We start from the raw sequence: 25,696 nt of genomic DNA on the forward strand, positions 1-25,696 counted from the left end.
CTCTAGCACAACAATGCACCAGTTCCCAACCAAGAAAAAATAAGGGTCTTTTCTGTCTCCGTGGCAGCCCTGTGGTAGTGACCCTCTGACCTATGATTCTCAATCCAGGCCTCTCGGATGAAGGTGGACCCAAGTCAGAAGGAGCGCCAAAGGCCAAATCAAAACCCCGGAAGCGGTTAGAAGAAAGCCAAGGAGGCCCCAAGCCAGGGGCAGTGAGGTCATCTAGCAGTGACAGGTAAAGAGAGGGAGAGGCCCCTGCTTGGGGTGGTGGACCTATGAGTCACAGCACTGCCCAGGAGGCCCCTTCTGGGGATTGATAATGCCACTAGTGGCCCCTGGCAGCTACAGCAGAGGGCCAGCAGCCTGTTCCTCTCTGAGGGTCCCCAGACCCTCAGGCCTGCCAGGGAGGGATCTAGACAAATGGGCACACTTACCAGCAGTCAACTGCTAATTCAAATCTATTGAGACCTGGCCAGGCACAGTGGCTCATGCCTTTAATCCCAGCAGTTTGGGAGGCCAAGGCGGGCAGATCACCCAAGGTCAGGAGTTCGAGACTAGGCTGGCCAACACGGTGAAACCCCATCTCTACTAAAAATACAAAAAGTAGCCGGGCGTGGTGGCACATCCCTGTGGTCCCAGCTACTTGGGAGGTTGAGGCAGAAGAATCGCTTGAACATGAGAGGCGGAGGCTGCAGTCAGCCAAGATCGTGCCACTGCACTCCAGCCTGGGTAACAGAGCAAGACTTCATCTCAAAAAATATATATATAATATATATTTTATATTTATATATTTAATATCTATTATATATATATGTAGAGAGAGAGAGACTTTTTCCTCACCAGATTGACAGAGAGTTTTTAAAATAAAAATGCTGGCTAGGCATGGTGGCTCATGCCTGTAATCCCAACACTTTGGGAGGATGAGAAGAGAAGGTCACATGAGCCCAAGAGTTCAATCCCAGCCTGGGCAACACAGCAAGACCCATCTCTACAAAAAAAAAATATATATATATATATATAGGCTGGGTCTGGTGGCATGAGCCTGTAGTCCCAGTTACTTGGGAGGCTAAGGTAGAAAGATCACCTTCCTTCTGGGAGGTCAAGGCTGCAATGAGCCATGATCACACCACTGCACTCCAGCCTGGGTAACAGAGCAAGACCCCGTGTCAAAAAAAAAAAAAAAAAACACTTAGTAAGACTGCAGGGAAACAGGTGCTCTCTATGCAGTAATGCAGTACTGGTAGCACATACACAGTCCAGCCTATCCGAATGCCAGGTCAGCATCACACGTCAATGAATAGTAGTTAAGTCACACTGATTTGTCCTGTAAGATCTCTGTTATCCTTCAAGCAACATCACACGTGCTCCAGTGTGGGGAGTGATAGTTCGTATGTCCAAGCTTCATTCATTCACTCAACACACATTCTTGGAGCACCTAGGACTTAGTTGGGTATTAAGATATGGAAAGGACTAAGCCCCCACCTGTGCCTTCAAGGGGTTCCCAGGCCAGTGGCAAAGACCAACAAGCGTCCAGAAAATGACTGCATTCCAGCATGGCAGGTGATGTGTAAGGAGGGTTGCCATCCAGCCCACACCTGGGGCAGGGAGGGTCTCAAACATCAGGGGAGGCTGAGCCTCCTCTCAGAAGTCATAACCTGACAAGGCCCCTGCCCTCAGGGACTTTGCATTCTAGTGTGGGAAAACAGACAGCCAACCTGTAAACAAGTAAGCAAATAAAATCATTTCAAATAGTGACAAGTGCTACAAGAAATTGAGAAGAAGTGACGGGGCTGGCACATAGAAGGTCTACTCTGAGAGAGGGGTCAAGGAAAGCTTTTTGAGGAAGTAGCATTGGGCTGGGCTTGGAATAAACGGTAAGAAGCTAGGGGAACAGCCCTTCTGACAGCAACTACCTCAGGGCAAGGGCCCCGAAGCAGGCCTAGCATGGCCAGTTAAAAGGCAGGAGGAAGAGTGGACAGGCTTGAGCATAGAGAACGGAGCCAGGAACTGTGTGAGGCCGAGAGTGGGCAGCAGCTGAGCCAGGTGGGCTTTTGCAGGCCAATGAGTATTTGTGGAATGCATTAACTCTCTGAGAAGTGGAAACCAATATTGGTCAAATTAATATGCAGCTATTGAGAGAGTCCTGAGGAGCTGGAGGAAACAGAGGGAGTCAGGGGTGCCCTGGGAGGCTGGAGGGATCACAGGCCTAGTCCCGGAACCTTGGCTATGAGTTTCAGCCTGATCCTCAGGCCCTGGGCACCCATGGGAGGGTTTTAGGCAGGATGACATTATCTGGATTTGCACTTTAGAAAGGTAGGTAAATAATGCCTCACAAACACCTTCCATGTGTCACACACTCGGCCTTTAATCCTCAAAACCCCCTGAGGTGATGGGGGTGGCATTCCAGCACTTCCCCACCTCTACCACATAACAGTGAGGGTTTGGTGAGCCAAACTCATGAGCTCAGATGAGCAGGAAATTGCCAGAAAAAAATAGGCCCAGTTCTGTGGTACTCCCAAAGATCCTCTTACAGTGACTTTTCTCTTCTAGGATCCCATCAGGCTCCTTGGAAAGTGCTTCTACTTCCGAAGCCAACCCTGAGGGGCACTCAGCCAGCTCTGACCAGGACCCTGTGGCAGACAGAGAGGGCAGCCCGGTCTCCGGCAGCAGCCCCTTCCAGCTCACGGCTTTCTCCGATGAAGACATTATAGACTTGAAGTAACAGAGTTGAATCTCATTTGCCATCTTTAGTTTTCTTATGGAGGTTTATACTCTTTAAACAGTTCTGATGTAATTTCTCAACAAAATGTGGCTTTTAGCCTGTCAGTGATCTATTGGACCAAACCTTCTGCACACTCGGCCAGTTCCCTCTCCAATGTCCGGTGCCATCTTTCCTGACCTTTGTTTCTTTCTGTTCAGGAACCATCAGTCCCCTTGTAATAAAGGTGGTAGATTTCATTGAGGTTTTAGATTGAAACTTTGAATAAATCAAAAATACTCATTCTTATTTACTGCAACCTTCTCATATTTTATATACTTAGATGGAAAATTATTTTTTCATTACAGTTTTGATTTATGTCACATAATGTGTTTCTTTTATAAAGAAAAGTCGTTGCTTTTTAACTTTATTATAAGTAAGTTTTTTTTCTGCACCTTTGGCCCCGGTTGCTGTTTCAGTTCACCGTGATTGGAACCAGCTGCATTCCTGCCTGTAGACTTTTGAGAAAAGTTGAATGGTTAGATCTTAGAAGCTCCTCCTTCTTCCCTGCATCTCATGAAAAATATTAAGGCATAGGAGCTTGTCAAAAGTCTTCAGATTATTTTGTGTGGTTTTATTGTTACTCTGCAATAATGTAACCAGAGAACAGCTACTCCTTGTGGTTAAAAGTATTCTCATTGTAATCCCAGTGCTTTGGAAGGCCAAGGTGGAAGGATCCCTTGTGCCCAGGAGTTTAAGGCTGCAGTGAGCTAAGATTGCACCACTGTTCTCCAGTCTGGGCAACAGAGGGAGACCCTGTCTCAAAAAAAAAAAAAAAAAAAAGAAAAGAAAAGAAAAAAAAAAGAAAGCATTTTCAAACTCCTCCTTCTTTTTGAGTCCCCCTCACTCTTTCACATAAATGATATGAAGATAATAATTTGGTTTATCTGCCTTTCCTGGCTCCCTCTCCAGTGTGAACAGAAAGAAATGTGGACTGGGCCAAGTGCAAAAGAAATAGTGAAATCTCAGCCACTAGCCAAGGGGAGATCCAGTTTCACTAGCATTGTTTGCAAATATTTTAATCTGTGTGAAGAAGGTATTTTACCTTTGGCTTTAGTCTAGCCAATTCAATTTTATTCTGTCTCTTCCTACTTATATTATTACATTATTCATCAAAGGAAACTTCCTGTTACCCCGTTAAAGCAGCTCAGAAGAGTTCTTCTGCAGGCTTTTTTTTTTTTTTTTTTTTAGACAGAGTCTTACTCTATTGCCCAGGCTGGAGTGCAGTGGCACGATCTCGGCTCTCTGCAACCTCCACCTCCCAGGTTCAAGCCATTCTGCTGCCTCAGCCTCCTAAGTAGCTGGGATTACAGGCACGCATCACCACACCCAGCTAATTTTTGTATTTTAGTAGAGATGGGGTTTCACCATGTTGGCCAGGCTGGTCTCGAACTCCTGACCTCGTGATCCGCCCACCTTGGCCTCCCAAAATGCTGGGATTATAGGTGTGAGCCACTATGCCCGGCCAGCAGGCCTTCTTTGTGAGTGTGGAGAACTGAGTTTGACAGGACCTTGGTCTGACAGATTTTATAGAAGTTTGGGTCGTACCTCCTAGTGGGCCTTGCACACTGTGGGGAAAGTTCCCCTCTCTGTCTTTTGTACAAACAGATCAGCATGATAGCCCAAGCTGAAGGTTGCTTGGTTCATCTTTGGCAGAAGGCAAGAGTCAAGAGTAGTAAAGACAGTGCTTTTTAGGTATACCCAGATGGGGCTGTTTATAACCAAATGTGTCTGCTCATATTCTTTGCAGCAGTTAGCATGCCCATTCTTCCTTTGTGTGTTTTATGCCCTTTTCCTATATAGGGGGAAAAAAACACTGTGTCTCAACCCCACCAACAGTTTAATGAATTATGTTTTATTATTCTTGCTTTTCAAATAAGGAAATAGGCTTAGGAAGGGGCAATGGTTTGAACCTGCAAGTTCTTTGACTCCAGAGCCCTTGCTTTCCCCACGTCTGCCATGCAGAGCCAGGCTCAGTGCCTTGTGTCAGCTGGATCTGGCTGGTGTTTTTCATGTTAAACTAATTTGTAAGCTTTATGAGCTTGTATCTGTGTTTTTCCTTTTTTTCTGGAAGTTTCTTGCTTCACAGTGTAGCATAAAAAAAACCCAAGGACTATTTTAGAGCATTCTTCCAAATCAGCAGCATTAGAGCCACCCACAATTTGACAAGAGTCACAGGTCTGAGGAGTGATGTAGCAAGGGCAAGAGGTGGACCCTACTGATCAGGCTGATGGTGCTTTGCCTATGAAAAGGGGGCAGGAGGCTGTTCTGGCAACATTATTTGTCTACAAAGGCCAAGAAGTGAGTTCTGCACACTCACGGGAAGGGAAGCCATCGGCCACAGGGTAGGAGCACCCTGCCTACATAATCCTTTCTGTGTACCCGACTGGCTGAGTCACACAGAAAATCATCTAACTGCAGTGTCTGCCTATGGAGTTGGAGGCATTGATCCACTCTGCACACACCAAGTGCCTCCTCTCCAGAGGAGGTCATGTCCATTGGGGGAAGGACGGAAGTAAACAAGGGATCACAAAGCAGTGATAAATGCTGTGATAAGAATACACATCTAGTGCTCGAGTTATCAAGCATTAGATGCTGTGGGAGTACAGAAGGGCAGTTGCCTAAGTCTTTAAGGATAGGCTTGTGGTCAGGACTGAAAAATGTTGGTTGCTAGAACCATCAAGTGACTGCAACATATCAGATGACTGTCTTCATCATACCGGTTAGCCTTTGAGTGCTTCACATGTCTTATATACATTACCTTGCTTCACAACTCTCCTGGAAGATAATGGTCATCCCCACTTAGAGATGAGGAAACACAAGGCCCAGAGAGGGATTACAAGCCAAGCCTCTTACTCCCATGCCCTGGCTCTTTCCAGAATTACACCAGCATTCCACCACAGCTGCCTGCACCCAGAGTGTTGGGTATGAATCGGGTACAACTGGTGAGATCCAACAGTGCCTCATCATTCGACTTGGGTGCACACGGGAGAAGGTGGCATTAAAATCCACAGGGAACTCAAAATATGGAGGCAGGTAGATGAAGATTCAAGAGTCAGGACTCCCTGTGAAGTGAGTGACACTTAAGAGGGGGAGTGGAGCCCAGATCTGTCACACATACGGCGTGGGGGACCCCACCTACCACTGGTCCTCAGCACCTGGAGACCCGAGCCTTCAGCAATCTGGGAAGCATGAAAGTGGGTTTCGGTGCACAGGGCCACGCCTCCGCCGCCAGCAGCCCAGCGGGAGCGTCTGACCAGTCTCGCCCTCCGAGAGGAGAGAGAGGCGGCCCAGGACGGTCTGCTTAGAGGCTCTCTCCCCTGCAGAGCTGGGCCCAGGCATAGGTCAGACGCCTCCAATACAGTCCCCAGGGCAGCGATTAAAGCGGAGCAGGAACTGCAGACCCGACCGGGCAGGACAGGTGCAGCTTCTCGGAGTTGGGGGCGGGAAGTCTCGGGCTGAGGCCCACGTGCTTCGCCTTCGCCCCGCCTCTACCCTCATTGGTTGAAGCCAGATTGAGAGGAGGTGCCAGAAAAAAAACTCCTCCCTCCAACCTCATTGGCCAGCTCAGTTCTGAGGCAGCTCTCTGGCCCCGTCTATGGGCTCGCACTACACTCCAATTGGGTGGTTGTTCTCCCAGACGGAAACTCCGCCCCACCTGTACCTTGGACCGCTCCGCCCTAGGGGCGGTTCCAGCGCGCTTCGCTAATCGGTTCTATGCTCCCATTGGTCTGCTTTAATGTGAAGGGCGGGTCCTAGCTGATTCGCTAGCCCCGCCTTGCGTTCCTATTGGCTGCTCCTGCTCTGCGGTTCCGATCCCGCCCAGCACCGTCCCCCACCCCCCGCCGCCCATTGGCTGCGAGAGGCCGGTGCGGGCCGCACTCGCAGGGCCCGTGGCGGTTCAGGCGCCAGAGCTGGCCGATCGGCGTTGGCCGCCGACATGACGCCCGAGGACCCAGAGGAAACCCAGCCGCTTCTGGGGCCTCCTGGCGGCAGGTGAGCTCCGGGGAACCCGGGCCCGGATGCGGCCTCGCCCTCCCGCCCCTCCGCGTCCGCTCCGCTCACCCTCGGCCCTGTCCCCCCAGCGCGCCCCGCGGCCGCCGCGTCTTCCTCGCCGCCTTCGCCGCTGCCCTGGGCCCACTCAGCTTCGGCTTCGCGCTCGGCTACAGCTCCCCGGCCATCCCTAGCCTGCAGCGCGCCGCGCCCCCGGCCCCGCGCCTGGACGACGCCGCCGCCTCCTGGTTCGGGGTGAGGCCCCGGGCTCGCTCCTCCCGCCCTGGGACCCCACGCCCTCCTCTCGGGACGGGCATCGGGACCCTCCGCCCCCCACCCTTCCCCTCGGGACAGGCATCGGGCCCCGCCGCCACCACCTTTCCCCACGAGACAGGCATTGGGCCTCTCTGCCCCCCATCCCTTCCCTCGGGACGGGCATCGAGCCCCTCAGCCCCCACCCCTCCCCTCGGGACGAGCACCGGGCCCCTCAGCCCCCTACCCCTCCCCTCGGGACGGGCGCGGGGCCCCGGCTCTTTTACCTCTGAGCCCGCGGGGAGTGGGTGGAGGGGGAGGATGGGCTGCGGCTTCGGCGCCCCCTCCTCAGCAGCCGCCCGCCTCCAGGCTGTCGTGACCCTGGGTGCCGCGGCGGGGGGAGTGCTGGGCGGCTGGCTGGTGGACCGCGCCGGGCGCAAGCTGAGCCTCTTGCTGTGCTCCGTGCCCTTCGTGGCCGGCTTTGCCGTCATCACCGCGGCCCAGGACGTGTGGATGCTGCTGGGGGGCCGCCTCCTCACCGGCCTGGCCTGCGGTGTTGCCTCCCTAGTGGCCCCGGTGAGTGTCCCGTCTCTCGAGTGTCCTGTCTCGCGGCCTGAGACCGAGGGGGAGTGGGACAAACCGCTCCCCAGGCCTGGGGGCGCGGCTCCCCCTGGCGGGACCTTCTGGGTGCCAGGCTTGAAGTCCCTGCGTTATCTCGCGGTCCCTCCCGTCGACCCTGGGAAGGATCCTACTGTTCTCTCCATTTTACACTGAGGTCATGACATGCAGTCTCGGAAAGGTGAAGTCCTTTGCCCAGGCGAGGTCCACAGCTAGTCAGAGGGGAAGCAGTTGCAGGAACCCAGGGTTGTCCCACTTAGCCGTGCCCCTCTTTTGCTCTGCAAACCTGCGGATGATCCACAGGAGCCCACTCCCTACATTTTGGTTTTCATCCCTGGCTTCGGGTCAATGACTGCAATTAGCAGGAAGTTCCTGTCCTGATTTCTCTTGGGGCAAAGGCTGCTGGCCTCTGTGTTCCCCTTCCCTTCTCACAGGCCAGCCCCTCTGGCTTCCCCATCTTCCCCCTTTCCCCCTCCTGACCCAGGCTGCCCACTTGGGAGCCCCGAACATCTGGGTCAAATCCTGGTTCTGCCACTAACCTGAGCAGAGTGCCTCCCTGGGCCTCAGTTTCCTTCTCTGGAAAACAGGGATTATGGCATTAGCCCCTGAGGTAGTGGTCAGGATTCAGTGGGACTTTGGATAGACAGCCCCTGGCATGGCTTGTAGAGGACTGGATCCTGACAGCTTGGTGACCCATGAACTGCCCCCAGCCATGGGCTTGGACAATATCTCCCCCAAGTGAGGTTGAAAGCAGCCACTCAGGCCCCTCCCTGGGTGCTCATTTCACCAACGTTTGCTAACCGGCAGCAGCAGCTGGACCAGAAGAGGGTGGGGAAGAAGCTGGGCCTTTTATGTCTTTGGTTTTTTTAACTGGGCAGAAACACACCTGTGTTAGGGGCCTAAGCTATGGAATAACCTTAGATGCATGGGTGAGGGCCTGGTGGCCTGTGGGCCCAGGAGGGAGCTAGTGGCAGCCACTGGTAGTGACCGAGGCAGAGAGTTCGTGCTTCTAGTCCAAGGCCACCACTCAAAGCGTGGGCCCTGGGCTAGGATCCTGGGTGGGCGTCACGTGGAGCTGGTTAACAAGGTGGAATCTTTCGCCTGTCCAGACCTACTGCATCGGAATCTATGATTTATCCAGGGTGTCTGTGCACATTAAACGAAGGCTTGAGAAGCTCTGTGCCCACCGCCTCTCGTCATCATATGCAGCCCTCTCCGTTACCCTTAATCCCCTTTAAACACCTGCCACAGATCTTTCAGTGGTGGGGACCTGGGGATGGCTCTGCTCACCTAGGCAGGTTCCACTAAGGGGCTTCAGGGCCTGCCGTAACCCCCTGCAAGGACTTTCCTCAGCTCTGAATGGCTGAGACCTTTCCATTTTAAGAACTCTTGGAGCCTGAGTAAAGCCTCATCTTTTTTTTTTTTTTTTTAATTTTTATTTAAAAATTTCGGAGTTTCGCTCTTGTTGCCCAGGCTGGAGTGCAATGGTGGGATCTTGGCTCACCGCAACCTCCACCTCCAGGGTTCAAGTGATTCTCCTCCCTCAACCTCCTGAGTAGCTGGGATTACAGATGTGTGCCACTAGGCCCAGCTAATTTTGTATTTTTAGTAGAGATGGGGTTTCTCCCTGTTGGTCAGGCCAGTCTCAAACTCCCAACCTCTGGTGATCTGCCCGCCTCGGCCTCCCAGAGTGCTGGGATTGCAGGCATGAGCCACTGCGCCCAGCCATAAATCCTCATCTGATTGCTGGCAGGTCTACATCTCCGAAATCGCCTACCCAGCAGTCCGGGGGTTGCTCGGCTCCTGTGTGCAGCTAATGGTCGTCGTCGGCATCCTCCTGGCCTACCTGGCAGGTATAGTTGTCATTATCTCTTGCTTCCTGTTTGTGGTCATGTGGCCATTTTACAGATGTGTAAACAGAGGTTCAGTGAGGTCAAGGGACTTGTCTGAGGTCACATAGCCAGTGCCCAACATGCCAGGCTCGCCTTCCTGGGACCTTGGGATAGGTGAGTCTTTTTTTTTTTTTTTTTGAGACAGAGTCCCGCTCTGTCGCCCAGGCTGGAGTGCAGTGGTGGCTCTCTGCAACCTCTGCCTCCTGGGTTCAAGCGATTCTCCTGTCTCAGCTTCCCAAGTAGCTGGGACTACAGGCATGTGCCACCACACCTGGCTAATTGTTTGTATTTTTGGTAGAAAGGGGGTTTCACCGTGTTAGCCAGGATGGTCTTGATCTCCTGACCTCATGAACCGCCAAACCTCAGCTTCCCAAAGTGCTGGGATTACAGGTGTGAGCCACCGCGCCCGGCCGATAGGTGTGTCTTATGACTGAGTTCCAGGGACAGCTGGAGAAGGTGATACCCTCAGCTTTCCTGAAGCCCCCTCTAGGGGTGTGGGAAGGGCTGACTGCTTAGGTCAGTACCTTACTGTGCAGTGACAAACCAGAGGGCTCCAGAGGTGGGTGGGTCCCTGTAAAAATCTTCAGCCCGGGCGAGTAAAGGGCTGAGCAAGTCCCCTGAGAATGTCAGTGCCAGATTCACCATGTCGGCGAGTTGCAACGTGAAGGAGGCCGGGGTCCTGGGGACCCCGAGGGGCAAAGCTGGGCCAGCATGAAGAAACTTCAGGAGACAGGTGTGTTCTCATTAGAAAGAGGCCAGGCTTTAGAGGCCAGACCCAGTGGCTCACACCTGTAATCCCAGCACTTTGGGAGGCAGAGGTGGGCGGATCACTTGAGGTCAGGAGTTCGAGATCAGCCTGGCCAACATGGTGAAAACCCATTTCTATTTAAAATACAAAAATTAGCCAGGCGTGGTGGTGGGCACCTGTAATCCCAGCTACCTGGGGGGCTGAGGCACAAGAATTGCTTGAACCCAGAAGGCTGAGGTTTCAGTGAGCTGAGATCGCGCCACTGCACTCCAGTGTGGGCGACACAGTGAGACTCTGTCTCAAAAAGAAAGAAAAAACAAGGGCAGGCTTCAAATCTGACCATCCTGAGTTTGGGGATAGCCTCTCCTACGTGCTGTGTGACCTTGGCCAAGTCATACCACCTCTGAAAGCCTCAGTTTCTCTGTCTTGAAATGGGCATAACCTCATCTAGTCCAGTACCTGTCCATTAAATTAATTGACACATGAAAAGTGCCTAACAGTGGGTTCCAAATGAGAATTGTCAAGGGATGACTTGAGAACCATGGGGATCATCGGGGTAGGAGGCCTCGGGGGCCTGACGGGCTATGGCCTGGCCCAGGGCACAAGCCCTCTGCATCGTCAGGGCGGATGATACACAGGTCTTTGGTGTTTCATTTTTACCCACTTAACCACCCTAACAAATTCAGAATCCTGCCAGCGATCTGGCTACCTTGGGAGACCTGAGTAAACCAAAGCCCCCACTGTGTGCAGGTGTTGACATTCATCATTTCGGGGACAGGTACTGGGTGTCCACCCACCCGTGGCACTATCTTCAGCTCATCTTAATATGTGCTTGTTGCTTCTCCTGCCTTTCCTGATCAATTTCTGTGAGTTTCGATCCACTGGGGTGGGTGAACTCTGATAACTCCACAAAGTGACATGGTGGTGGCACGTTTGCTTCACATTGGGGCAATCATGTTCCAACGACTAGACTTCATAGAACAATTGTCTGCACCCCCAGCACAGAAGAAAAATAGGGACATCATGGCTACCTTAGAGGTATTTTTCCACTGGGAACCAGGGATGGGTAAGCCTTGGGCTTAGGAAAAATTAGTAATTAGAGCAGCAATGCCCTAGACTCATTTATTCCAGGGCCCCTTTGTAAGAGAACCTTTTAACTTTATATAAAACTAGGTAATTCTGCACTTATGCTGTTCTTCATACGTCAAGACAGCAAAATCCTCTCACCTCTCTACTTTCATGTATACTTTGAATAGATAATGCATTCAAATGACTCAACACTCAAGTGCCAGAGTGGAGAGATGTCCAGTGAAAAGCTTCCTCCGCCTCTGTCCCTTTCTTGTCTGGGGGAGTCCCCATTGCCTGTTTCTTGGTAGCCTTCAGAGAGTCTGTTCATATGAGGGACATGCATATTTATCCTCCCTCCCCCACCTCTTCTACAAATGGTGCCACATCATACCATGCGGACACGCAGCAAGCACCTCATCCTTCATTTTTGTGGCTACATAAATGTTTCGTTGAACGGATGCAGCCTAGTAATGTCCGCGTTGTCATACCCACTGTCGCTTCCGCAGCTGGTGTGATTGGCCCGTGCCATGTGCCTTCATGAACAGTTGTGATAATGGCAATGTCAGTAGCGAACATGAGGGCAGATGTGCAGAGGCAGCGAGGCCCCATCTCTGAAGCTGAGTCTTTGAGGCTGGCAAGGCCCAGGCTGGCTCACCCTGGCTCTGACGCCAGCCTCCTCCACCCACCCCCCGCAGGCTGGGTGCTGGAGTGGCGCTGGCTGGCTGTGCTGGGCTGCGTGCCCCCCTCCCTCATGCTGCTTCTCATGTGCTTCATGCCCGAGACCCCGCGCTTCCTGCTGACTCAGCACAGGCGCCAGGAGGCCATGGCCGCCCTGCGGTTCCTGTGGGGCTCCGAGCAGGGCTGGGAAGACCCCCCCATCGGGGCTGAGCAGGTGAGAGGCTGGAAGGCAGAGCTGACAGGAGTGGGACAGCAGTCACGGGAGGGTAGCACAGCCTGTTCCCAAGGCCACACACTTGGGGGGTGGGGGACAGGGAGGTGCCTATCCACCCTCCACCCTCAGCGAGGACAGGCCCAGTGTGTCCTGTCTTTGAGCAGGCCAAGACAGCTGGAGCCCCACGGAGCTGGGCCCTGGCCTCCAAAGTCACCAGCAAAGCCCGAGCTTTGACCCTTACTGTCCCAGGAAGAGAATGGCCAGGCCTGGTGGGGGATACAGAGGCAGAGCTGAGGACTTGGATTTAACAAAGGAGTTGCAAGGCAGGGTAGAGGGCTAAAAGTCTGGGTTTTAGAGTCACCCAGGCATGGGTTTGAAGCCCCCACGCTGCCCCTCACCTAAGCTTTAGCTCTTCACCTGTGATGTGGGAGTCAGCACCTGCTTCACAGTGCTGGGTGGGACTCAGTGGGGGAAAGGAAGGCGGGGCTTAGGGAGGAGGGGGGCTCAGTGGGGAGGGTGGGGTCAGCGAGGAGGATGGGTTCAGTGGGGAGGGGAGGGTCAGGGCTGTAGGAGGTGCTTAGCTAGGGCCAGGCCCAGACCTGAGGCAGGTGCTGGATGTGTTGGTGGTGGCAGGGATGAGGGCAGCAGCTTGCTCTTTGCCCAGATTACCTCTTTGTGGCTCCCCCCCACCTATCAGGAAGTGCCCTGGGCAGGTGAGGGTCATCTCACCTGACACATGGGGAGGCTGGGACTTGTCTGCACACCTGAGGACACAGGGGGTGCTGGGATGAGGAGCCAAGACGTGGGAGTCAGCGCTCCCCAAGCCTTAGGACAGTAGACCCCCAGAGGGGGGCCGCTTGCGGGAGGGGAGAGAGAAATCCTGATGGCCAGTATCCGTCAGAGCAGAGCTTTCACCTGGCCCTGCTGCGGCAGCCCGGCATCTACAAGCCCTTCATCATCGGCGTCTCCCTGATGGCCTTCCAGCAGCTGTCGGGGGTCAACGCCGTCATGTTCTATGCAGAGACCATCTTTGAAGAGGCCAAGTTCAAGGTAAAAGGGCCCTGCCTGGCCTGCCTCGTCCAGCCCCCACATAGATGGAGCTTCCTCCCCAAGCCCAGGGCCCAGCCATCCAGCACAGGCCTGGAGAGGGAGGGACCCAGCTCTCAGCTGGCCCACCTGACCTGCCTGGGCTCTGTCTCCCCCAGGACAGCAGCCTGGCCTCGGTCGTCGTGGGTGTCATCCAGGTGCTGTTCACAGCTGTGGCGGCTCTCATCATGGACAGAGCAGGGCGGAGGCTGCTCCTGGTCTTGTCAGGTGAGGGTTCACCCCTGTGCAGCCTCCCCGCCATGCGGGGGAGGGCCTTCGCCAAGGCCACCACACTGCAGGAGGAGGACAGGGAGCATTTGTGATGACAAACATCATGGACTAATGCGGCCATGATTTGACAGCAGCTTGTCACCAAGCACTCACTGCAGGCCTGTCCATGCCAGTGGCACTCCCACACCACGCCTTTAACCTCTGTGGTGAACCCACCAGAAGGCACTCTCACAGCCCCAGCTTATGACGGGAAAACTGAGGGCCAGGAAGGTGAAGTGACTCAAGAGTTTGTGGGTCCTTTTGGACAAGTGACTTTACCTCTCTGAGCCTCAGTCTCCCCCTCTGGGAAGTGGGGGTAATGGCAGTGCCTCCCTCAGCACCATTTTGAGGAGTGGGAGGTGATCCACGTGAGGCCTTCAGCAAGAGCTGCGGCCCACGGACATTTGGTACCCAGCAGCTGCTGCGAAGACGACCGTCGGGGCTGAGGGTTACTCGCTGCTGCTTCTGTGCCGGTACCTCCCATTTCCTCGGCCCAGAGGGTCTGCTCCGGGAACTTTTTGCAGTTCGCTGAGGTCCAAGGCGGGGTGGCTGCCACCCAGTCAGGGCTTCTGCGGCCAAGGTGCCAGAACACCAAGCTGGCCGTTCTCTGGGAGCCGGGCCTGCCCCTCTCAGAGGCATCCAGGCCATGCTGCTGCGCCCTGGGCCGTTCCCCGGGTGCCCCGCCCACTGCCGCCCTCCCGCCTGCAGGTGTGGTCATGGTGTTCAGCACGAGTGCCTTCGGCGCCTACTTCAAGCTGACCCAGGGTGGCCCTGGCAACTCCTCGCACGTGGCCATCTCGGCGCCTGTCTCTGCACAGCCTGTTGATGCCAGCGTGGGGCTGGCCTGGCTGGCCGTGGGCAGCATGTGCCTCTTCATCGCCGGTAAGGGGGCCTGTGGGAGGCTGGGCGAGGAGTGGGAGGTGATCCCCCCGGCCCTGCTGTGGCGGCTCCCGGCAGGTGGGGTCTTCCCCAGCCTCACCTCTCCTCTCGTAAGTTCCAAGCTCTGCATTTCTAGCTCTGACCACATGCAGCTGTGGAACTAGGCCCCTCTGCGTTCCTTTCACTTAATCCCCTGAGCAGCCCTCGAGCAGGCCCCGTTGTGACCCCATCTCAGAGACAGAGCCTGTGCCTGAGGAGGGAAGAGGCTGGCCGAGGCCTTGGCAGGAAAGCATGGAGCTGGTGGGACCACACTGGGATCCGGGACCCCACAGCCCCACAGGCTGGGAAGCTGGGTCTCTTGGCTCTGCAGCAAGCTGAGGAGCCCAGCCCTGCGGACCCTGATGCCTGTCTTGCCTGTCTCGCTCCCACAGGCTTTGCGGTGGGCTGGGGGCCCATCCCCTGGCTCCTCATGTCAGAGATCTTCCCTCTGCATGTCAAGGGCGTGGCGACAGGCATCTGCGTCCTCACCAACTGGCTCATGGCCTTTCTCGTGACCAAGGAGTTCAGCAGCCTCATGGTGAGGGCAGGCTCCACCAGCACCGCGTTCGTGCAGTCAGCCGAGAAGCACTTTCTAAAACCACTTGTATTGCAGAAGACCCAGGGTCGTGGCCTTACATGCAGCCTGAGCCCCACCATGCCTGGGCCACTGGCCATCTTGGGCAAGGCGACGTGGAGGCAGATGGGCTAGGCCAGATGGGGAACCCAGGCTGTGACCCCTTGGGAGTCCTCTGCCTGTCTTGGCAGTCAGACAGCACAGCTGGCCTCTCCCCTTAGTGAACGTCAGGAAAGCGGGCCTTGAGCCTAAGGTCTTACATGGGAAGAGTTGACAGGGCTGGGCTGCAGCCCCACCCTGGCTACTTCCTTGCTGTGTGACCTTGGGTATGATGCTTACCTTCTCTGAGCCCGCTTCTTTGGCTGAAACTGGAGGAGAGTAACAGCAGCTTGCTCTTAAGACGGATGGGAGCATTAATTCAGTTCATCCTGTTGCTGCCTTCTCACGGATGGACTGGCACAGGTGTGGCCCCTGTCCCGGGGCTTCCCAGCCAACAGAGAGACAGTTCTGGGGTAGATGATCTGGTTGTTTGTTCAGTCATTTGTGCCCTCCAGGTCTCCTGGCATGTGCCATGTCCAGGCCCATTCAAGGCGCCAGGGAGAGCAATGAACAAGATGGACAGGGTCCCCTTTATGACAAGGACGGGAAAGGCCATGGCAGTGGTGGGAGAATGAACCCCAGTGGGGCTGGGTTAGGATGTGGTGGGGCGGGTCATGAGGGGCCAGCCTGGAGTCTGTGCAGAGCTTGGGACCCGCTTAGGCAGGACTGCCCGGGGAGCACATCGAGGGGGCCAGGCCGATGCCTGGGGGTGGAGATTACTTGCTGCAGCTGGGAGGGGATGCGCAGCAAAGGAAGGAGGAAAAGAAGCCAAGAAGGAGGTGACAAAGGACCTAACAGTCCTTTTTTAGGAGAGAAAATGTCCAAGAGGCCAAGAGAAGGCCTTCGAGGAGGGAGAGATCGCCAGGTCCCAGAGGACCAGGAGCTGAGAAGCACCTTTTTAGTTCTGGCACGTGGGAGGTCACAGTGGTGGTGGATGGCAGGGACAGGTTCTGACTGAAGGCCCCATGTGCTCCTGGGGCCATGCTCGCTTTGCCCTGTCTCACCCATTTCCACCACACTATGAAAGAACCCACCGGGGGCCTCAGGGTGGGGCCAAAGCTGAGGGTGGAGGGTTGGTCTGTGGGCCCTGGAGTCAGACCTGGAACAGGAGCCCAGCTGTCACTGGATAGCGGGTCTCTGGCCTTGAGGCAGTCACTTCATTGCTGTGAGCCTCAGTTTCCCCAGCCATACGACCTCGGTATCTTGGACAGTGCTCGGCCCAAGCCACCAGACTGGATGCCAGACTATCCTCCATGTCCCAGAGCTGGGTGGAGATAAAATGGGTGTGGCCTTGGGCAGGGCAGGCTGGGGTCAGGGGACTGGACCCCCTGGTGGCAGAGCTGTCTCAGTGATCGCGTGGGGCTTCCTGATCTCTCCCCGCGTCCACCCATGGCCTTTCCTCTCTCTGCAGGAGGTCCTCAGGCCCTATGGAGCCTTCTGGCTTGCCTCCGCTTTCTGCATCTTCAGTGTCCTTTTCACTTTGTTCTGTGTCCCTGAAACTAAAGGAAAGACTCTGGAACAAATCACAGCCCATTTTGAGGGGCGATGACAGCCACTCACTAGGGGATGGAGCAAGCCTGTGACTCCAAGCTGGGCCCAAGCCCAGAGCCCCTGCCTGCCCCAGGGGAGCCAGAATCCAGCCCCTTGGAGCCTTGGTCTGCAGGGTCCCTCCTTCCTGTCATGCTCCCTCCAGCCCATGACCCGGGGCTAGGAGGCTCACTGCCTCCTGTTCCAGCTCCTGCTGCTGCTCTGAGGACTCAGGAACACCTTCGAGCTTTGCAGACCTGCGGTCAGCCCTCCATGCGCAAGACTAAAGCAGCGGAAGAGGAGGTGGGCCTCTAGGATCTTTGTCTTCTGGCTGGAGGTGCTTTTGGAGGTTGGGTGCTGGGCATTCAGTCGCTCCTCTCACGCGGCTGCCTTATCGGGAAGGAAATTTGTTTGCCAAATAAAGACTGACACAGAAAATCAGGTCAGTGTCTCTGGGCTTTGTGCAAGCTCAGTTTGAAAAGGGTTTATTCCCATCACTGCCCAGGACACCCTGTGGCTTTACTTGCTCATGGTCAGCCAAGCTTACCCTTCACACTGAGAAGTCATTTCTGGCTACTTCCTTGGGCTCAGTTCCCTGGGTCATCAGCCATCAAATCTTGTTGAGTTTAAAAAATAAACAGCAAAAAAAAACAAAACAAAACAAAAAAAAACACCTTTTGTTCTGTTGACTTTAATGGAGCCAGAAGTCTTTTATAATTTTATTATTAATTAGCTAATATGTGTTCATTGTAGGGAAATTAAAAAAGATTTAATATCATTTTTATAGCTGTTAACCAGCTGCTATGCACTGTCCTAAGCACTTTACAAATATTAACTCATTTATTTGGATAAACAATGATAAAACTATTTACAGCCACCCCTTTCCAGAGATAACATCTCTGTTGGGATTTTGTTCTGCCAGGCACGGTGGCTCACACCTTTAATCCCAGTGCTTTGGGAGGCTGAGGCAGGAGGATCTCTTGAGCCCAGAAATTCGAGGCTGCACGCACCTCGGCATCCGCATTACCAGTGCTTGCGTGGCAGTCCACTAATCGGGTGAGAACCATATTGCTTTTTGCATCTCAATGAAGCAATAGTAGCAATTTATCAAGCACTTTTTTTTCCAGACTGGTATAAAATTGTATGTGCTTTTGTAAACCATTTAACAATAAAAGTAAAATACAAAAGGGAACAGGGCACGGTGGCTCACGCCTGTAATCCCAACACTTTGGGAGGCCAAGGCGTGTGGAGTCAGGAGTTCAAGACCAGCCTGACTAACATGGTGAAACCCTCGTCTCTGCTAAAAATAGAAAATTAGCCGGGCGTGGTGGCACATGCCTGTAATCCCAGCTACTCAGGAGGCTGAGGCAAGAGAATTCGCTGAGGCTGAGGTGAGAGAATCCCTTGAACCCAGGAGGCAGAGGTTGCAGTGAGCCAAGATCGTGCCACTGCACTCCAGCCTGGGGGACAGAGTGAGACTCTGTCTCAAAAATACATACATACATAAAATAAAAATCATTAGAGATATATTCTCTTTCCACCAGCTTTGTGCCTGGAGGTTATGGATGTGGGGCTCTGGCTGCCCTCTTGCCACCGACTGGAGCTTCAGACTGAAGCTTAACATGGGCCAAAGCAAGCATGTAGGAGAGATAGGGAGGTTGGGGGAGATGATGGGGAGGTGGGGGAGATGGGGAGGTGGGGGAGACGATGGGGAGGTGGGGGGAGATGATGGGGAGGTGGGGGAGATGATGGGGAGATGATGAGGTGGGGGAGATGATGGGGAGGTAGGGAGAGATGACGGGGAGATGATGAGGTGGGGGAGATGGGGAGGTAGGGGGAGATGATGGGGAGGTGGGGGAGACGATGGGGAGGTGGGGGGGAGACGATGGGGAGGTGGGGGGGAGACGATGGGGAGGCGGGGGGAGATGATAGGGAGGTGGGGAAAAAGATGGGGAGGTCGGGGGAGATGATGGGGAGATGGGGGAGATGATGAGGAGGTGGGGGAGACGATGGGGAGGTAGGGGGAGATGATGGGGAGGTGGGGGAGACGATAGGGAGGTGGGGGAGACGATGGGGAGATGATGGGGAGGTGGAGGAAGATGATGGGGAGGTGGGGGGAGATGATGGAGAGGTGGGGGAGATGATGGGGAGGTGGGGGGAGATGATGGAGAGGTGGGGTAGACGATGGGGAGGTGGGGGGAGATGATGAGGTGGGGGAGGTCATGTGGGGGGAGCTGATGGGGTGGGGGAGGTGATGGGGAGGTGGGAGAGGTGATGGGGAAGTGGGGGAGGTGATGGGGAGGTGGGAGGTGATGGGGAGGTAGGGGAGATGATGGGGAGGTGGGGGGAGATGATAGTGAGGTGGGGGTAGGTGATGGGGAGATGATGGGGAGGTGGGGGGAGGTGAGGGGAGATGATGGGGAGGTGCACATCAAAATGTGAACAGTGCTGCCCTGCCACTTGACTTTTTGAAAGCTGCCTTGAAAATAAGCTTTCTGGGTCCAAATGATCCTTTGCTCAAGCAAAGCCACTGATACATGGCTTTAGGTTAGTAATATATAAAACCCAGAGCTTATGAGTTCGGGGAGGAAGTATTCACAACATTATGGTTATATAAACATCGTTACTGTAAACCTAATGAAATGGACTTAAAGACATAATCCTATGTCAGTCAGCCTGTGTTACTCAAAAAGGAATATTCTAAGCAGCAATATAAAATGGATTTTCTCTTATACTACATCAGTTAATTAAAATAATGCCAGATTTGAGTTTGTACCTTATTTAGGACATGATAATATTAGATTTCTTTTTTACCTGGAGTTTTGTTGTTGTTGTTTTTCCTTCTTAAGAAACGTGTCATTTTCTTCACCATATGACTGAGGTCTTTCCCCTTTGTAATAATGCTAGCTGTTGCATGGAATCCATTTTTTTCTCCTTCTGACCTCTTGTTTTGGGGGACCTGCGGCAAAGCTGTTTTCGTTTCATTGATTCCTGGGTTAATTTCTCTGCTTCTTGGGTTCCACACCTTGCTCCTTGGATTCCATTTCTTTTTTCTTTCTTTTTTTTTTTTTTTTTGAGACGGGGTTTCGCTCTTGTTCCCCAGGCTGGAGTGCAATGGCTCGATCTCGGCTCACTGCAACCTCCGCCTCCTGGGTTCAAGTGATTCTCCTGCCTCAGCCTCCCGAGTAGCTGGCATTACAGGCACCCGCCACCATGCCAGGCTAACTTCTTGTATTTTTAGTAGAGACGGGGTTTCACCATGTTGGCCAGGCTGGTCTTGAACTCTTGACCTCAAGTGATCCGCCCACCTCAGCCTCCCAAAGTGCTGGGATTACAGGCATGAACCACCGCGCCCGGCCTCTTGGATTCCATTTCAATTTGCAGGGCTACACCTTCACAGGGCTACCATGTCTGATATCAGTCATTTTTTCAGGACAGGTACAGAGGGAGCGAGTTTCTGCATGCCTAAAAAGCCTTTATTTTACTGTCACTTTTTTTTTCTTTCTTTTTTGTAGAGACAGGGCGAGTCCATACAGTAAAGTGAAAGCAAGTTTATTAGCAAAGTAAAGGACTAAAGAAAAGCTGCTCCATAGAGCAGCCCCGAGCGCTGCTGGTTGCCCATTTTTATGGTTATTTCTTGATTATATGCTAAACAAGAGGCGGATTATTCATGCCACCCTTTTTTAGACCATATTAAGTAACTTCCTGGCATTGCCATGGCATCTGTAACCTGTCATGGCGCTGGCAGGAGTGTGGCAGTGAGGACGACCAAGATCACTCTGGTTGCCATCTTGGTTTTGGTGGGTTTTGGGCTGCCTTCTTTACCGCAACCTGTTTTATCAGCAAGGTCTTTACAACCTGTATCTTGTGATGACCTCCTATCTCATCCTATTACTTAGAATGCCTTCACCATTGGCATTGGCAGTGCAGCCCAGTAGGTCTCAGCCTCATTTTACCCCGCCCCTACTCAAGATGAAGTTGCTCTGGTTCAAACGCCTCTGATACCATGAGATTTTGAATCTCGATACTTTCTTCTGGGAACTTGTTCTTCTTTTACTTCTTCATTCTCACATCCCAGCCCCTGATTTTCTCTGTTTCCTCTTTCTGAAACTTCTAGTAGACACTGTACTTCCTGGCACAGTATCCTCCCTCAATTTTTCACTTATATACTCTTTTAGTGTCTTCGTATTCTAGGAATTTTTTTTTTACTTAATCCTCTAGCTCTTCTACAAAATGTTCTGTTTTGTTAATCATGTTTAACATAATTTTGATCCTTTTAAATGTATTGAGACCTATCTTGGTGAATGTTCCATGTGCAATTGAAAAGAATATGTACTGTGCTGTTGCTGGGCGGAGTGTTCTATAAATGTCACTTAGGTCAAGTTGTTTAATAGTCTGCTTCATGTCTTCTGTATTAATCAGGGTTCTCCAGAGATTAAACTAATGGTGTGTGTGTGTGTGGGGGGGGGATGTATGTGTATGTAGAGAGAGATACATAGAGAGAGAAATAAGAAATCAGTTCACATGATGGCCAAGCACGGTGGCTCACGCCTGTAACCCCAGCACTTTGGGAGGCCAAGGCAGGCAGACCACTTGAGGTCAGGAGTTCGAGACCAGCATGGCCAACATGATGAAACCCTGTCTCTACTAAAAATACAAAAAAATTAGCTGGGCATGGTGGCATACTCCTGTAATCCCAGCCACTTGGGAGGCAGGAGAATTACTTGAACCTGGGAGGCAGAGGCTGCAGTGAGCCGAGATCGCACCACTGCACTCCAGCCTGGGCAACAGAGACTCCGTCTCAAAAAAAAAAAAAAAAAAAAAAAGAGAAGAAATCAGTTCACATGATTATGAAGGCTGAGGTCACAAGATCTGCAGGGTGAGTTAGCAGCTGGAGGCCCAGGAGAGCTGATGGTGCAGTTCCAATCCAAAGGCCAGCAGGCTGGAGATACAGGAAGAACCAATATTGCAGTTCAAGTCTGAAGGCAGGAAAAGACTGTCAGTCATCCCCACTCAAGAGAGTCAGGAAGCGTTTCCCCTTACTTTCGTTCTACTCAGGCCTTCATGGATTGGATGAGGCTCACCTACATTGAGGGGGGCAATCCGCTTCACTCAGTCTACTGATTCAAATGTTAATTTCATCCAAAACACCTTTACAGAATAATATTTGACCTGTCAGGTTGACACATAAAATTAACTATCATGTCTTCTAAATCCAGGTTTTCTGTCCACTGATTCTGTCGATTACTGAGAGAGGGTGTTGGAATCTCACCTCTGCATGTGTATTGTCCAGCTCTGTAGTTCGTTGGCCTTTGTCTGGCACTTTGGAGCTCTGCTCTTAGGCACCTGTGCATTTAGGATTGTACCGTTCTCCTGACTGCTCCATCCTTTATCTTTAGGAAATGGTCCTCTTTATCCCTGGTACTGCCCCTTGTTCTGAGGTCTGACCCTGTCTGACATGAAAATCGCCACTCTGTTTTGGCAGTAATTTCTAATATTGTCTTATTCCCTGTGCCTTTTTATTTTATTTATTATTATTTTTTTAATTTTCCTGGTTTCCTTGGTGTCTTCTAAACCTGTGCCTTTTTCGTAGCATCCTGTGCTCTTCTTTTTAATGGCTTGCCTGTTTGAATTTCTCTAAGGATACATATTTTCACTTTTTAAATATCAGCTTTAGGCTGGGCACAGTGGCTCACACCTGAAATCCCAACACTTTGGGAGGCCAACGTGGGCGGATCATTTGAGGTCAGGAGTTCGAGACCAGCCTGGCCAACATGGCAAATCCTTGTCTCTACTAAAAATACAAAAATTAGCCAGGCGTGGTGGTGCATGCCTCTAATTCCAGCTATTTGGGAGGCTGAGGCAGGAGAATTGCTTGAACCTGGAAGGAGGAGGTTGTAGTGAGCTGAGATCACACCACTGTACTCCAGCCTGGGTGACAGAGCATGACTCTGTCTCCAAAAGAAACAAAAAACAAAAAAAACCAGCTTTGATTGAGGCATTATTTACTTAAGTAAAATTCAATAATTGTAAGTATAAAATTTAATGACTTATGACAAATGTATACAGTCATGTAACTGTCAGGCCTCTGAGCCCAAGCCTGCACGTATACATCCAGATAGCCTGAAGAATCACAAAAGAAGTGAAAAATGGCCAGTTTCTGCCTTAACTGATGACATTACCTTGTGAAATTCCTTCTCCTGGCTCAGAAGTTCCTTCACTGAGCACCTTGTGACCCCTACCCCTGCCCGTAAGAGAACGACCCCCTTTGACTATAATTTTCCACTGCCCACCCAAATCCCATAAAAGTGCCCCACCCCATCTCCCTTTGCTGACTCCTTTTATGGACTCAGCCTGCCTGCACCCAGGTGATTAAAAAGCTTTATTGCTCACACAAAGCCTGTTGGTGGTCTCTTCACACGGACACGCATGACATTTGGTGCCGTGACTCGGATCGGGGGACCTCCCTTGGGAGATCAATCCCCTGTCCTCCTGCTCTTTGCTCCATGAGAAAAATCCACCCACAAGCTCGGGTCCTCAGACCAGACCAAGAAACACCTCACCAATTTTAAATCGGGTAAGCGGCCTCTTTTTACTCTTCTCCAACCTCTCTCATTATCCCTCAACCTCTTTCTCCTTTCAATTTCGGCGCCACCCTTCAGTCTCTCCCTTCCCTTAATTTCAGTTCCTTTCCTTTTCCAGTAGAAACAGAGGAGACGCTTTTTTTTTTTTTTTTTTTTTTTTTGAGAGAGTTTTGCTCTGTCACCCAGGCTGGAGTGCAGTGGTGCCATCTTGGCTCACTGCAAGCTCCACCTCCTGGGTTCCCGCCATTCTCCTGCCTCAGCCTCCCGAGTAGCTGGGACTACAGGCGCCCGCCACCATGTCCGGCTAATTTTTTTTTTTGTATTTTTAGTAGAGACGGGGTTTCACTGTGTTAGCCAGGATGGTCTCGATCTCCTGACCTCATGATCCACCTGCCTCGGCCTCCCAAAGTGCTGGGATTACAGGCGTGAGCCACCGCGCCCGGCCCGAGACACGTTTTATCTGTGAACCAAAAATGCCGGCGCCCGTCATGGACTTGGGAAGACAAGTCTTCCCTTGGTGTTTAATCACTGCGGGGATGCCTGCCTGATCATTCACCCACATTCTAGAGGTGTCTGATTACCATGGGGACGCCTGCCTTGATCCTTCACCTTGGTGGCAAGTACCACCCCCCCCCCCACCGGGGTGGCAAGTACCACCTCCCCTGGGTGGCAAGTGCCCGCCCCCACCTCTGTGTCTCTACCCTCTCTTTTCTCTGGGCTTGCCTCCTTCACTATGGGCAACCTTCCACCCTCTATTCCCCCTTCTTCTCCCTTAACCTGTGTTCTCAAAAACGTAAAACCTCTTCAACTTTCGCCTGACCTAAAACCTAAGTGTCTTATTTTCTTCTGCAACACCATTTGGCTCCAATACAAACCTTGATAATGGTTCTAAATAGCCAGAAAACAGTGCTTTCAATTTCTCCATCCTACAAGATCTAGATAATTTTTGTCATAAAATGGGCATAGTCTGAGGTGCCTGACATCCAGGCATTCTTTTACACATTTGTCCCTCCCTAGTCTCTGCTCCCAATGTGACTCGTCCTAAATATTTCTTCTCTCCTGTCTGTTCCTTCAGTCTCCACCCCAAGCTCTAAGTCCTTTGAATCCTCCTTTTCTACGGACCCATCTGACCTCTTCCTTCCTCCCCAGGCTGCTCCTCGCCAGGCTGAGCCACGTCCCAATTCTTCCTCAGCCTCCGCTCCCCAACCCTATAATCCTTCTATCATCTCCCCTCCTCACACCCGCTCTGGCTTACAGGGGGAAGGTAGCCAAGGATGGAGTGAAATGCAGGGTAAATGTCTTAAAGGAAATGAGAGGTTCTATGAGGCTGGCTAGTGGCTTGTAACCTACATGGAAGAGGTTACGAAAAGATGACAGAATGGAATGAGCCTGTGAGGGTGAAAGGAGGTATTTCCTTGGTCTAAGAACCATTTGCCTTCAGTGGGGAGGGATTGATAGGTGGAAACTTCAGTGCGAGAGTAAGTAGGCGTGACTGATGAGGAGAAAAACTGGCCATGAGGGACAGAAGTAGGAATAGTGGCTGCTGCTTTTTCTGTCTTATCAGCATAATTGTTGCCTTGAGCAATGGAGTGTGGGGCCTTTTGATGGCCTTTGCAGTGAATGACTCCAGCTTCCTTTGGAAGTAAAGCAGCCTTGAGAAGAGTTTTTATTAAAGAAGCATTAATGATGGAGGACCCTAGTGTAGTGAGGAAACCTCTTTCAGCCTACGTAACAGCATGGTAGTGCAGCTATTTCCAACTTGGGGCTATATGAATAAAGCCACTATAAACAGTTACATACAAGTCTTTCTGTGGAGTGGACTCGCTGGGTCATGTCTTATGTTTAAGAAGCTGCCAAACTGTTTTCCAAAGTGGCTGCACCATTTTGCATTCCCACCAGCAGTGTAGGGGAGTTCCAGCTGCTCACATCCTCCACCACACCAAACCTGGCATTCACTGTGAGGAATATAGCTACTTACACGCTTTTTCAAAGTTGTCTTCTGTTCTCTGACTTCCTCTGGGATCAGTTGATCTGCTTGTTTATGTTGGGCCATCTCTTTTATGCTGCTGGTTTATCTCAAATATCTGGTGAGCTTTGGTTGTCCATATTTAGGAATAAAGAACTAGGCAGCTTAACTGCAGTAGCTGGTATAAGCCTTCCCCCTCCCCCACCTCTCTACCTATTCTATGCTCTGTTATGGATGTGTTCATTTCTGTACATCTCCAATGTCATTTCAGTGGGATTTGGCAAAGGAGAAAAGGAGGTAAATGTGTAAGTTTAATTCACCATCCTGAACTAAACTTTTTGCATCATTTTAATAATTACTTAGTATTGTTTGCCTTTGGAGTCGTGGTGCCTGGCAAAGACAGGTACTCAAATATGTTGAATGTAGGGTTATTTCATCATATAAATATATC

General features: G+C 52.1%; 2 protein-coding genes across 34 annotated transcripts in view, besides 3 other annotated features; both read left to right on the forward strand.

Annotated features, from left to right (window-relative positions):
* The window catches only part of GARNL3 (GTPase activating Rap/RanGAP domain like 3), a 169,048-nt gene extending 165,920 nt beyond the window's left edge, over positions 1–3,128 (forward strand). For all 14 annotated transcript variants that reach the window (NR_104591.2, XM_047423963.1, XM_011519086.4 and 11 more), the window contains 2 exons: positions 109–235; positions 2,551–3,128. Coding sequence is in view for 13 of the 14 variants with exons in the window: in XM_047423963.1 (XP_047279919.1) it covers positions 109–235; positions 2,551–2,722 (299 nt within the window). In the remaining variant the exon portion in view is untranslated. The remainder of the gene's footprint in view (positions 1–108; positions 236–2,550) is intronic.
* Positions 6,521–7,060: a silencer, noted in NCBI's record as "silent region_20302". NCBI's record gives its function as "represses an Ori minimal core promoter by ATAC-STARR-seq in GM12878 lymphoblastoid cells {active_cell/tissue: GM12878}" and the evidence as "EXISTENCE:reporter gene assay evidence [ECO:0000049][PMID:35858748]".
* On the forward strand, positions 6,637–17,366 carry SLC2A8 (solute carrier family 2 member 8). 20 transcript variants are annotated; one of them, NM_014580.5, is made up of 10 exons: positions 6,637–6,754; positions 6,844–7,006; positions 7,373–7,579; positions 9,375–9,474; positions 12,025–12,221; positions 13,128–13,271; positions 13,427–13,535; positions 14,286–14,459; positions 14,888–15,033; positions 16,580–17,366. In NM_014580.5, exons 1-10 carry the CDS (start codon positions 6,699–6,701, stop codon positions 16,715–16,717), a joined length of 1,434 nt encoding a protein of 477 aa, NP_055395.2. In that variant the 5' UTR covers positions 6,637–6,698; the 3' UTR covers positions 16,718–17,366. The 20 variants fall into 20 exon arrangements, 19 of the variants coding, with proteins under 19 accessions (NP_055395.2, XP_011516904.1, XP_006717147.1 ...); XM_011518602.3 differs by having other exon boundaries at positions 13,206–13,271; XM_006717084.4 differs by having other exon boundaries at positions 16,904–17,136.
* Positions 7,371–7,500: a silencer, noted in NCBI's record as "silent region_20303". NCBI's record gives its function as "represses an Ori minimal core promoter by ATAC-STARR-seq in GM12878 lymphoblastoid cells {active_cell/tissue: GM12878}" and the evidence as "EXISTENCE:reporter gene assay evidence [ECO:0000049][PMID:35858748]".
* Positions 15,851–16,417: an enhancer, noted in NCBI's record as "H3K4me1 hESC enhancer chr9:130168662-130169228 (GRCh37/hg19 assembly coordinates)". NCBI's record gives its function as "activates a minimal SCP1, AML or CMV promoter by ChIP-STARR-seq in naive H9 embryonic stem cells {active_cell/tissue: H9 hESC(naive)}" and the evidence as "EXISTENCE:reporter gene assay evidence [ECO:0000049][PMID:30033119]".
* Positions 17,367–25,696: the final 8,330 nt, after the last annotated feature.

Source organism: Homo sapiens, chromosome 9 (genome assembly GCF_000001405.40).
Source record: "Homo sapiens chromosome 9, GRCh38.p14 Primary Assembly".
In the NCBI taxonomy this organism is placed as follows: Eukaryota; Metazoa; Chordata; class Mammalia; order Primates; family Hominidae; genus Homo; species Homo sapiens.

Coding starts and splice junctions, on each gene's coding strand:
- SLC2A8 (XM_047423283.1), top strand. CDS start 6,699: ATGACGCCCGAGGACCCAGAGGAAACCCAGCCGCTTCTGGGGCCTCCT. Junction 6,755..6,843: donor CTGGGGCCTCCTGGCGGCAG/GTGAGCTCCGGG, acceptor CTGTCCCCCCAG/CGCGCCCCGCGGCCGCCGCG. Junction 13,536..14,285: donor GCTGCTCCTGGTCTTGTCAG/GTGAGGGTTCAC, acceptor TCCCGCCTGCAG/GTGTGGTCATGGTGTTCAGC.